Source organism: Homo sapiens, chromosome 7 (assembly GCF_000001405.40).
Source record: "Homo sapiens chromosome 7, GRCh38.p14 Primary Assembly".
NCBI lineage: Eukaryota > Metazoa > Chordata > Mammalia > Primates > Hominidae > Homo > Homo sapiens.
Window position 1 is genome coordinate 95950552 of NC_000007.14, and position 13194 is coordinate 95963745.

Below are 13194 nucleotides of genomic sequence, written 5' to 3' on the forward strand. Positions count from 1 at the left end.
AGGCAATGAATGAATCTTGAATTTCTTTTGTCCTTGTCCTGTTCTGACATCTGCAACTCTCATGGCAGAATTCGGTAAAACTGAATTCAGAGTCCTAACCAGAGCGTCAGTAGATCAGATGGAGTCAAAGAGACAAGGAAAGAATTGGGAAGCAATGCTGTGGTCAGTTGGGAAATGGGCAACTCCAGTCACACTCAGAAAATGGAAGTGAAAATTGGGGCCAGGATCATCTTAGAAGCACCAACAAAAGCATATTGGTAAAATACCCAACAATAAAGATCACAAAAATTAGCCACACATGGGATAATCATGACACAATAAAGTTATGAATCACCTCTACATTAGGGTATGTGAGCAATTCTGTAGCTATTGGGAAACATCCCTCTGTTTTCTTGAGTCTTACTCCCTGAGACTAGTCTCATAACACTTCAAAATGAAATTGTCTGAGCCAAGAAGGAACAGAGTCGAATAGAATAGACAGGTGTATTTTGGTGTCAATGATTATACCATTAAAGTTTTCATAAATATCTTTTTACTATTATCATTATTTTCTCCTCAGCAGACAGCACCAGTTCCAGAAGTTGTGTGATATAATTGAAATTGATTTTTCTTTTTAAGCAGTGTATTTGACATTTCTTCAGCGAGGCTCCAGCTCTCTTCCTTATGCTCACCCCCAAATCTGTGGTGAAGAAAATATGACTTCAGTCCATCTCATCCTTAATATAGCTTTGGCCTTCCTCATCACAAAACCCTTACAGCCTAAAAGGTCATGGGCAGCATTTACGAAGCCTGGGATATGCTACAGGAGAGGCAGTCATGCTTATGTTCTCACAGTCGTGATAAAACATGGGGTGGCCCAACTCAGGACTAATTTGGGGTAGTTTTCTCTGGATTTAGCTTTTGAATGTTTTTTGGGACCTGAGAAGGCCCCAAAAAGAAAGAAAGAAGGTAGTTTTCTTTCTTTCCTTCATTACCTATAGTTTTCTGTTACCACTTGAAACAATACATCCAATACAACCTATTACAGATTAAGATTAAAATATCTTTTCTATGGCACTATCTGAAACTTATGCTTTAGCTGCTTTTCAAATGCCTCTAGTTCATGAAATGGGAAAGAAACATTTTCCATGACACGACGGTATCACCATCTGTTTTCAAGGAGGACGACTGCACGCCTACACAGCAGATTTTCTCTGTGTTGTATTCATGCAGCGAAGAGCTGCACTTCTGAGTGGTTTCTTGTGTAAGCTCATTCATGCTTCTTACCTTGGAGACTTCATCAGACTCTCAGCCAAGTCAAGGTCAGGAAGCACCTGTCCTGATGCTTCTTTTCTGTATATGTTTCTCTGGGGTTCTCCACAGCCTCATGGAACATATTCCTTTTAATCTCTATCGGAATCATGTATGTTTCATTATTTGCAGATGAAAAGAAAACCATCTTCACAAACAGAGAAGGACCTTTTTATTTAATAAGGCTCTGATCGCCTGATTGATTCTGAAGTGCTTGCTCTGGGCTCTATCTGAATGAGTCTTACATAGAGAATAAGAATCTTTCCTATCATTTTCTCCCTTATTTTCTACCTTCCTTTTATTTTTCCTTTCTCTCTTTCATTTTCTCCTTTCCCTGCTTTCTTATTCTGTCTGTTTTACAGCCAGTCCTTCCCGCCCCAGATTACCCATTCATCCTCATGATGAAACCTTTTCATCCTTGTGACTCTCAGATTTGTTCCAAGTCACTGTTAATGCATTTATCACTTCTGACATAAGGTGGTAGACTTTTTTAGCTTATACTTTCCTCCCCTTTGCAACTCCCTTCACTAATGGCAAAGAGTGACAACTAGTGATTACAGAAATCTTGAAAATGCCACTGGGAACTCAGCAACAAGAGGTGCCTCATCAAGACTAAGACGTAGATTTAAGATTGGATCCCCAGCGGCTCCCCTCCCCATCCCTTTTATCCCCACTTTACTAGCAAAACCTAAGTAACCTCTTTTTACTTCCTGACCTGGAGGTTCTAAACTGAAATCTTCAACCAGCCCAAGGGTGCACGTGGCCCTGCTCAGTGCTTTTACGCCATCCTCCCACAGTCTGTCTATTTTGAAGTGAGCGCTATGTTATTTCTGTACCAGGCAAAAACCTTTTTGTTTAAATGGAGATATAAAATTTGTAGGTGCTACATAATATGCTTAAAAAAAAGCTTCAATATGTTTTTACTTTACCATCCTGCTCCCTCTGCCTCGTCCTTCCTCTGTCCTTTTATGCATTGTGTTGCCCTGTGTCTCTTTCTTCATTTTTGGACTTGCTTCAGTGTGTGGCTGCATTCAGAGTGGAGCTTAGGGAATGACTGATCACCTCAGACCTTCAGGGTCTGCCTGTCCAGCAGAGCTCAGCTTTCACTAGATCTCAAGAGTCCAGGGGTGACCATAGAGCAGGATTATGCTGGGCAAAATAGCTAATGGCTTTTATTTTGCATGGTAAAGAATTACAAAGGTAGGTCCATATCTTAACTAGTTTGTGACTCATTCAGCAAATGTTTCTTTTGTATCTCGTATGTACCTGGCTGTTCTAGTTCTCAAGATATACAGAGAATAAAACAGACAAGTGTCCCTTCACACACACCTTCACACTTTAGAACATATTTTCATAATCTCTAAGGCATCAGCAGTTTTTATAAGCAACTGTAGCATCTTTTGGAAATAAAATTCCCAAATTTTAATTACTGTAAGCATCTTACTCAGTTTTATGAGGCTTTTTAAAAAGAAATGGGTGCTGTAAAAACTGAGTTGTAACTTTTTATGTGAGTGGAACAGCATTTCTCTCCGCATTTGCTTTCTCCTATCAAGAGAGAGAGAAGGAAAGAAAGAAAGAGAGAGAGAGAGAAAGAAAATGAAACGTGTTTGGATTTTTGCCACCTGGTTATGGTTAGTTCTTTATTTTAAAATCACTTTCAAAACAGATCAGACATTACATTGTTAAAAACAATTTTCACTGTAGGTATTGAATATCATACTGCGCTTGTAGTAATAACTGATAGATATCTAGAATAATCTTCATTGTGGACTGAAACTAGAAAGAACTGTCAATCACTGAGTTTAACTTTAAACACAGATGATTTGAATTCATGTTAGCAGCGTGAGGAAGCCGAGAAGATGGAACAGTGCTGCTTGGAGAAAAGATGATAGGATTACCTCTGCAGTTTGCCGTTCTTGCTAGTTGTTTGAGTCACTAAATCAAGGCAAAGTTTGTGAAAAGCCTGTGGCTGGGGTCTCCAACTCTTCATTCCTGCTGAGATTTTCCTATTATAAATCTGCTGTCAGAAATAAGTGCTTTACTTGTGACTTAATTCTATGCAGGCACAAACACCTTGGTTCAACACTTTGACCAGACGGCCCTGACTGTCTTGAGAGAAACAGAGATCTCATTAATATGGGCTGCTACAAAGAAAAGGGGTTCCCATGCTCTCCGGTCGTCATTCACTGCTCTGGAAACAGCCCTGTGAACGCTGAAAGAAAACATGAACTCCAAGGCAGCAGTAGGGCCGGGATATTGAGGGAGGGAAGGATATTAGGGAAAAGGGAGTATAGGCCTTGTGGATTCAAAAGCATTGTCATTCTCAAAACAGGCAATTCCGTGTTTTAATACTTCCCATGTCACCTGGTTTTAAAAATTGGTTATTTAAAAATCTGCTATTATCATAATTAGCTAGATCCACACTATCTAGTATGGGAGCCACTGGCCACATGAGGCTATTTAAAGACAATTAAGGTCAAATAAAATTTCAAACCCAGGTCCTCAGTTTACGCTAGCCTCACTTCAAGTGCCCAGTTGCCACGTGTGCTTCATGCAACTGTATTGGACAACATGGAGCATTTCCATTGACACAGAAAGTTCTCTTGGGCAGTGCTGGTGTAGACAGTGCTTATAGAATCTCTTGGTCTTTGGCCACTCATCACTTTTACAATGATCAGGCATTTAAGGGCATAAGCAATAAAAGCTGAATGCTAAAACTCAATGACATTTCCATTTTTAATATTCTGACTTTATGTTAAATGTCTTCTTGTTTAAAGATGTATGGACAATGGGCCGGGCATGGTGGCTCACGCCTTAATCCCAGGACTTTGGGAGTCTGAGGCAGGCGGATCACGAGGTCAGGAGATTGAGATCATCCTGGCTAACACGGTGAAACCCCATCTCTACTAAAAAAATACAAAATAATTAGCCAGGCGTGGTGGCGGGCGCCTGTAGTCCCAGCTACTCAGGAGGCTGAGGCAGGAGAATGGCGTGAACCCGGGAGGCGGAGCTTGCAGTGAGCCGAGATCGCACCACTGCACTCCAGCCTGGGCAACAGAGCAAGACTCTGTCTCAAAAAAAAAAAAAAAAAAAAAAAGATATATGGACAATGACTTTTTTTGCCTTCTTTTAATATGTCTTTTGAATATCATATGTCAGTGCTATGCAACATGTGCTCCCCGGAATGGGTCCAGTCCACAAACTATTAGTTATCAGTCTATAGTGAAGCAAATAAATCAAGAGTAAGCCTTTACAAATTTTTATAGGGATTTAACATTGCTGTGACTTCCAGGCATTCATGCTGGTTTTGATAAGTATGTGAGGTGATGGATATGTGAATTAGCTTGGTTTGGTCATTCCACAATATGTACTTGTATGAAAATACCATGTTGCCCACGATAAAAATACACACTTTGTCATTTTTCCATTAAAAAATAATTTTTAAAACAATTTGCAACAGATTGGAAATTTTGATTTATTTTATGAATTTTTTTTTTTAAAGACAAGATCCCACTCTGTCACCCATGCTGGAGTACAAAAATGCAGTCGTAGCTCGCTGCAGCCTTGACCTCCTGGGTGCAAGCAATTCTCCCACCTCTCCGGAGTTAGCTGGGACTACACACTTAGCTGATTTTTAATTTTTAATTTATTTTATTTATTATTTTTAGAGACAGGGTCTCGCTGTGTTGCCCAGGCTGGTTTTCAAACTCCTGGCCTCGAGCAATCCTCCTGACCCAGCCTCCTAAGTGGTGGCAATTTAAAACAAGAAATAAACTTGCCCTTCACCACAGAGAGGTGAGAAGCAAAGATGTATGAAAATGTTCACTTTCGGAAACACATTAACCAGCTCACGTAAAAATTTCAAACAGGACCAGCTTACGTGCAAGGAACGAAAGCTCAATTCAGGAAAAAGCTATATTAAATGTATAATTACTTGACATGACTGTGAACATAGCCTACAGTAGTTTTCTCATTCACTCTTAATGCATGTTAAGGATGTTAATGCCAGGTGCTCTTTCCTATAAATCTGGCTCCACTTTTATGTAACATTCTTTATCTTAGGGATCTTTGACCAGAGTGGGAGGAACAGGTGCCTGTTACTGAGAGTAACATGGTGTTTGTTTATTACACTTGGCTAAGTTTGGAAGGTTTGTGCTTTAGCTTATAAAAGTAGCTACTACTTGCAGAGTACTACAGTATTTGAATTGAAAAGTGTTATGCTTTACTGTATCTCCATACAAAGAAGAGGTTTCCCTGTGATGTGATTGACAGTCTATAACAGGAGTATTCCTAGCCATGTTCCAGTTTCTTCTCTGGGTACCTGGCCACATTTCAATGCACTCAGCCCACAGAGACCAGAGGCTATGTGGCACGTGTATGTGGAGTTGCTACATAAATAATACGTAGTATTAAGTGCTTATTTGCTAGCTTCTCTGACTAAACTCAGAGCTCTGCAGAGAAGGTGGCTGTACTTAGCCACCTTTGCTATCTCCCTCGACTTACACAACAGGTGCTCAATAAGACCCTTCTTTTTTTCTCTTTTTTTTTTTTTTTTATTATACTTTAAGTTCTGGGATACATGTGCAGAATGTGCAAGTTTGTTACATAGGTATACATGTGCCATGGCTGTTTGCTGCACCCATTAACCGGTCATCTACATTAGTTATTTCTCCTAATGCTATCCCTCCTCTTGCCCCCCACCCCCGACAGGCCCCAGTGTGTGATGTTCCCCTCCCTGTGTCCATATGTTCTCATTGTTCAGCTCCCACTTATGAGTGAGAACATGCAGTGTTTGGTTTTCTGTTCCTGTGTTAGTTTGCTAAGAATGATGGTTTCCAGCTTCATCCATGTCCCTGCAGATGACATGAACTCATTCTTTTTTATGGCTGCATAGTATTCAATGGTGTATATGTGCCACAATTCCTTTATCCAGTCTATCATTGATGGGCATTTGGGTTGGTTCCAAGTCTTTGCTATTGTGAGTGGTGCTGCAATAAACACACGTGTGCATGTGTCTTCATTTAATTGGCTATTGGAACTACATGATGCAGTTAAAAACATAGTTAATAATCAAGTCCATCATTCAGTTCATTTAACACGATACCAAATCACTGCTTTGACATCATTATTTTGCTTCATCTGGTAGTTGTGTAGCCCTGGACATGCTGAGTTTAAACTTCAGCTTGGTCAATGGCTTGTTGAATAATCAGGAAACTCTGATTCCAAATTATTGATATTTCTTAGCTCTAAAAACATAATCTTGGTTTGCAATAGGGGCAATATAATGAATAAATGATTGTAAAATACTTCACTATGAAATGAGGCTAAAATATTCCTTATGTGAAATATTACTACCAGAAATTCCCCAGCACTCATTGGAACTTTCTGTAAGACATCTCTCTGTCAGAGGAAGTTGTGAGTTGCTGCTTAGAAATTCAGTATCAGTGGCATTTTTGTAAACCTGGCATTTGGAAAGTGAATTTCAGAACAATCTTCTTCCTCCACCCCACCCCAACCCTCCATTTATTTGTATCACAAAACTGCCCCTAAAGTCAATATCCCCCTCCCTAAAATGAATACATTGTCCAAGATCTTTATCCCCTCCTCCTCCTCCTGCTGCTGCTGCTGCTGTTTGCTCATCAATGCAGGATTTCAGAGTTGTTCGTCCTCCAGAAGCTCCCACTCCCTTGGTCTTGTCTGAGAAGTTCTTGATTGGGCTCCCATCCATCAGAAGAAGGAGGAATTTCTGGCCCTATAGACATGCAGGTGCTCTTGCAGCCCATGATCTTGCATGAACTGGAGATGTCAGGATTGGGGAAGTGACTCCTGCAGCCTGAAGCCTTTGTTGGGAGGAGCAGTCGGAGCCAGGAAGCACATCTGCAGCAGGAAAGTGTTTGCTGATTGTGGGATTTATAAGAAAGGACACACCCGGGAGTAGGCTCTGAAAGGGGTGAAGAGCTCCATCCCCAGGATCACAGAACTTGTCCTTCTGGCTTTGATCTTTAAGCCACATTTAAACTCACAGGAAATACCACCACTCACGAGAGCCTTCACTGGGAGAAAGTATAGGCTGGGTGTTATCCAGCTCGTCACAATTGCAGGTGTATGTCTTCAGTGAGTGAGTGGTTCTATATGTCATAGGTCAGAGTTTCCTAATCTTGGCATTATTGGTATTTTGGGCTGGTTAAGCCTTTGCTGCCAGAGCTGTCCTGTGCATTGTAGGATATTTAGCAGCATCTCTGGCCTCTACCCATGAGATACCAGTAGCAACCACCTACAGATGTGACAACCAGAACATCTCCAGATTGAACATTGCCAAATGTCTGGTTGAGAACCAGAACCATAGAAAGACTCTCAAAGGATTCTAGATGTGCCATTATTTCTCAGAAAAATCTAGTAACTTTCTTCTATGATTAAGAAAATTATATGATTAAGAAAGGTAAATGATTAAGAAAGGTATGCTTTACAGCCAGATGCAATAGCTCACAAGTGTACTCCTAGCGTTTTAAGAGGCTGAGGCAGGAGGATCATTTGAAGTCAAGAGTTCAAGACCAGCCTGGGCAACACAGTGAGACTCTGTCTCTACAAATGTTTTTTTTAAAACATTGGCCCGGAAAGCTAAAGAAGAAGGATGGCTTGAGCCCAGGAGATCAAGGCTGCAGTGAGCTGTGGTCATGCCACTATACTCTGGCCTGGGTGACAGAGTGAGACCCAATCTCTTAAAAAAAAAGAAAAGAAAAGGAAATGTATACTTTATGTTGTAACCAAAAAGTATGTTTAAGCACCCACTTGTTTGAGACACTCAGTTGAGTTCTAAACAAATCAATCAAAAATTGTATCTCTAAACATGAATTTTCTAAGCTAATTGACAAATTTTTGCCTTGTAGAGAATCTGAAGATAAATCATATTCAGAATACATTGACAAAAAGTTGACATTGATTCTGTCCCAAAATATGCCTTAATGAACTTGTCTGTTAATTCCATGTGCAGAAATTGAGTATCTACTATTTTCCAGGCATTTGACCAGGAAGGAAGAAATAAAACACGATTATGGCCCTTGAGGAGTTTTAAGCATAGCGAATGCTATCATTTGGCATACAAATGACAAATGGGTGGGCTGGTCTACATAGAGGAGAAGCAGCTAAATCAAACTGAGGGGTCAGGGTAAATGTTCTGGGGAGGTAAACTTGAAGCTATGCTTTGAAGGATGAATAGGAGTTAAGTGAATAAAGAAGCAAAATCAAGGGCACTGCAGGTAGACGGAGCAGTGGGTACCAAGGCTCAGAGGAAGGAAGTGGCACAATGTGGAGATCTGTGAGAGGCTATGAATGCTTGAGTGAAGGCGTCATGTGGGGCTGGGGTAGGGAGTGAGGGGCAGATCTTGCAAAGCTTTGGGTTCTGAGCCTGAAGGCACAGTGGAGATGCAATGGCAGAATTTTAGCAGGGGCACAACAGGGCCTTTTAGCAACTTCTTCCAGCAACATTGGAAGGGTTCAGACCAGCAAGCTAGGAGGCAGCAGCAGTAATTCATGTGATAATTGACAAAGACCTAAATCAAGGCCATGTCAGTAGGTTAAGGAGGAGAACGGGGAAGGAAATCTTTCAGAGATTAAGAAGGTCAAATCTATAAACTGATTGAATGTGGTGACTTGACATAGAGGAGACATTTCTGACAGATCCCAGGATTCTAGCTTAGATGACAGTGACTGGTTCTCAATCCCAAAGTTAGGATCCAGGAAGAAGATTAGTTTGGGGAAGAGAACAATGAGACAGTATGGTGGAGTAGTTAAAACCTTCAATTGTAAAATTAAATTAGACCTGGGTTTACATACCGGTTCTATTCTTTACAACTACATGAACTTTCTTGGACTCATTTAACTTTGCTAAGCCTTGATTTCCTCACCTGTTAAATGGTGCTATTAATAGAACTTACTCATATATTATTATAAGAATTCAATGAGAGAATCATTGAGAAGAACAATGCTTAACACCTAGTAAGTCCTTAACACATGTTAGCCAAGTTAGCAGCATCCCCGAGCCCAGGAAGTCCAACTGCAAAGTTGATATTCCTAACCATTTTAATACACTACCTCCTTGGGGCAATTGCATGTAGATTAAATGGTTGAAATATAGATTCCCCTAAGCGGACTTGTGCAGTGTAAGGATAAAAAACTAGGCAAAGGTTAGATCACAGGAGATCATATATTGTAAGCTAGGGACTTTGGCCTTTATGTTTTTTGTGAAATGAGAAAATGCTGGAATGTTTTTGTTTTGTTTTTTTGAGACGGAGTTTTGCTCTAGTCACCTAGGCTAGAGTGCAGTGGTGCTATTTCAGCTCACTGCAACCTCCGCCTCCTGGGTTTAAGCTATTCAACTGCCTCAGCCTCCCGAGTAGCTGGGATTACAGGCGGACACCACCACTCCTGGCTAATTTTTGTATTTTTAGTAGAGATGGAGTTTCATCTTGTTGGATAGGCTGGTCTCAAACTCCTAATCTTAAATGATCCACCTGCCTCAGCCTCCCAAAGTGCTGGGATTACAGGCTTGAGCCACCACGCCCGGCCAAATGCTGGAATTTTAAGCAGGGAGATGGCATGTCCCAATTTTTATTTCAGAATGCTGACATCAACAGACAGGGATGACCTACCAGTGTAGGAAGGCAATGGCCAGAAAGACCCACCAGCCTTCTTTTTCTTGTTTTCCTCCTAGTGTATAGAACACTTAGTTGACAAACTTGATTTGTCTACTTCCGAGTAAAAGAGAAGGAAAAGAGTGATAGAAACTTGAGGTGTTTCAAGTATGTCAGCATGGAATATCCTTTCACTCGGTTGGCCTCACAGCTGCAGATAATGTGGATCCAGAAAGTTTGACTCCTCCTTAAAAGGACAATAGTTGATACCGTGCAGAGCAGGTAAGGAAGCTCCTTTGCAGATGAATACAAGCAGCCAAGCCTGTGGGACCAGAGCAGGCACCAATCCAGATAATAAACCCTGTTCAGCATCGTCTAGACCTGTTTGAGTGATTTGGTTTAATTAGCCTTTCCAAGAAAGAATCTTCAAGTTTTAATGGTGCATAGTTATGCTTGTAAACGTCTCCGCCAAGCATGGGCTCTAGAAGTGAGGATTTGATGGGTCACAGTGGCTTGGCTGGAAGCCACAGGGTAGCTTTAATAACTTTGTATAATCTAATGATGTCATGCAAACAGAAAAATTTGGATTAGAAGGGGAATAAGTAAATGAGGTAGTAGCATGCTCGACAGGTGAAGATGGCTGAGAGTGTGTCAGGTAATCCTCTGCCTAGACATATTTCTCCTTCAAATCTCATTGGAATTGGGGCTTCTCTTGGTCTCTATGACAATATTACTACCACAGCATGGGTAGTGGAGAGAGCACTGGAGAGAGAGTCAGCAGGTCTGATTTCTAATCTGAGCTCTTCCATCAGCTGGCTGTGCAAGTTTAGGGGCCCTTCAACTTCATGGATGGCAATGGCTCATCCATTCAGTGAAAAAACTAACCAAGGTAATTAAGAAGGAGGATGGAGAAAAGAAGAAGAAAATAATAATTTCCACTTACCTAGTTTTTTATTTAATTTGCTGAACAACATGCTATGTGGTTTGCACACTTGATCCTTCCATCTCATGACAATAACTTCCATAGCCATCTCTCTGGATTTTTTTCAGCTATTTGTTTTCATGATTCTGCATTTATGTGAAGGCACTGGGAACAATATAGAATGGCAGAAGTTGAATACAAATCCTCCCTGTATAGTAGGAGGTAATATTTTGAAACCTTGAAGGTTCAAACAGTGGCCAGGGACAGAGGATGAGGTTGGCACATATGGTAGAAAACACGAATCTGGTTCTGTTTCCTTTCTCCTCTGTCCATCCACCTGAAGACTGCATTATGGCCAGGGCTAAAGCTGTAGCCTGTTGGGAATATAGCTACCAGAGCATACTTATTTTAAATGTAGTTGTTTCCTTGCTCTCACTGCGCCATCAAAACTGAAGGCCTTAGCCTAGCTTCCATGCTTCCATCTAGCTTCCTGCCTTTCCTTCCCTTGCTCCCTCTCCACATGGTTTGTCTTCCCTTGACCTTGAATGTGTGCTGACTCTCTCCTGACTTCACACCCTCCTTCATGATGTGCCCAGGTTGGCTGAACCCACAAGTAAGCAGTCTGTTTTGGGGCCAGACATTGGTCTGAGAGCTGAGAGTAGAGAGAAAATTCAGTACTCAATTTTATTCACTATGTTTATTGGCCTTTAAAGAGAGAAGCGTGATGGGAGACCAGAGCATCTAACCTAAAGGATGTAGCTAGGAATGCCCTTTACTCTGCCCATCCTACCCTTACCTGCCCTTAAAGCTAAGCTCATGCTTGCAGCAAGCCCAGCTCCATCTGACTGCCCATTCTGATGACCCATAGCTTACACCCTCTTTCTAGTCTCAACAGGTCTAGGAGACTGTCTCACACAACTTGGAACCTTATTTCATATTTTGTTGTTTGAACTATGTTTAGATGCTTTATGCTCCTCATTCCCAAATCCTATTGCAACTAAATAATAGCTGCTTCTGTGGGTCTTTCTAGCCCTTTGTTTCTGTGATTATTATTAACTGAAATACCTTCCTTCTCTTTCCTATTGCATAACTTTCTTCCTACCTTGCACATTTTTGTGGCTGGGTGGGCCACTGGACACCAAGAAGCAGTAATTATTATCACAATTACCCTGCCTTAATAACTAACACGTTATAGCCTTTTACCCTGACAAAGCAGCTCTGTATCCATTATCTCATTGTTTCACACAACAATTCTGTTATGTAAGGAGCACAGAAATTAGCATCCCTCATTTACAGGTAATAAAGTAGATCTTAAAGAAGCTGAAGAACTTATTGTTTACATGCCACATAACAAAATGTAGTGAATAAGACCATACTTTCCTGTGCTGTCTCTGGGGAAAAAAATAGGTAGATAATTTACCTACTACAAAATGTGTGATGGGAAACTATCCTCCTGGGTCATGGCACTACTAATTACCCAGGAATCCTTAGAACCCTCTTTTGACATCAGTTGAAACACTATTGACTTATAATGCTGCTTCTCAACAGAGTTGAGTGGATCAAATAGCAAATGTGAATGACTCTATTTAACTTGGTATTTATCTTGGCATTTCAGGCCTTCCATTATTTCCTCTCTGATCTACCTGCCATTCACTGTTTACATCTTTGCACTGCTATATATTTGTACATGCTTCTTTCTCTTCCTGAAATGAAACTCTGCATTCTCCTCTCTACGTCCTTATTTAGGTCCCACCATTCTTCAAAATCCAACTCGAATTGAACTCCATAAAAAATCCACTTCCCTTTCTTCCCTCTGCCCTTGTCCTATCTCCACCACTTGTTAACCTCACCCCTATTTAATTTTCAGAGCACATCTCCAGGCATTCTCTCTTCTGATGTAGATATTTACATACATTTGTCGTTTCCCTGCATGAATGCCAAATTCTTTGGCTTCAAGCTTTTTTCTTGATTCATTTGTGTGGCCATCATAAAGTTTAGCCTATGCCTTCAATATACCGCGTTTTGAAGAACATGTGTTCAATTATAATGAATAGAAGAATTATTGTTAAAGGGGGCAATTTAGGTTGGATTGAGGACACCCAGCATGAAACTGAAATGACTGAGAACAGGCAAAAAATTCATGACTGCATGCTCTAACCACTAGACTATTTTCCATTCTGAATAGGACAATAGTGGTCATTATTTTGTTGCCACAGTTTCATTCTCACACTCACACTGAGCCTTTGAAGTGAAATCTCTCCTAGCACCACTGAGGTTGGGAGGATTGCTCACTATTTGGAGGGATTGTCAGTAGAAAGTTATGAACTCTCTGGTGAAATGCTGCTCAGTTTA

The 13194-nt window shown here is 40.9% G+C and overlaps 1 protein-coding gene across 5 annotated transcripts in view, besides 1 other annotated feature; it reads left to right on the plus strand.

Annotated features, from left to right (window-relative positions):
* The window catches only part of DYNC1I1 (dynein cytoplasmic 1 intermediate chain 1), a 337769-nt gene that overhangs the window by 177998 nt on the left and 146577 nt on the right, over positions 1–13194 (plus strand). The gene's annotated exons all lie outside the window — the stretch shown is intronic.
* Positions 2800–3490: an enhancer, noted in NCBI's record as "eDlx#26 fragment used in the reporter transgene". NCBI's record gives its function as "activates a minimal E1b promoter in the forebrain, neural tube and heart of transgenic zebrafish {active_cell/tissue: forebrain | heart | neural tube}" and the evidence as "EXISTENCE:transgenic organism evidence [ECO:0001131][PMID:22914741]".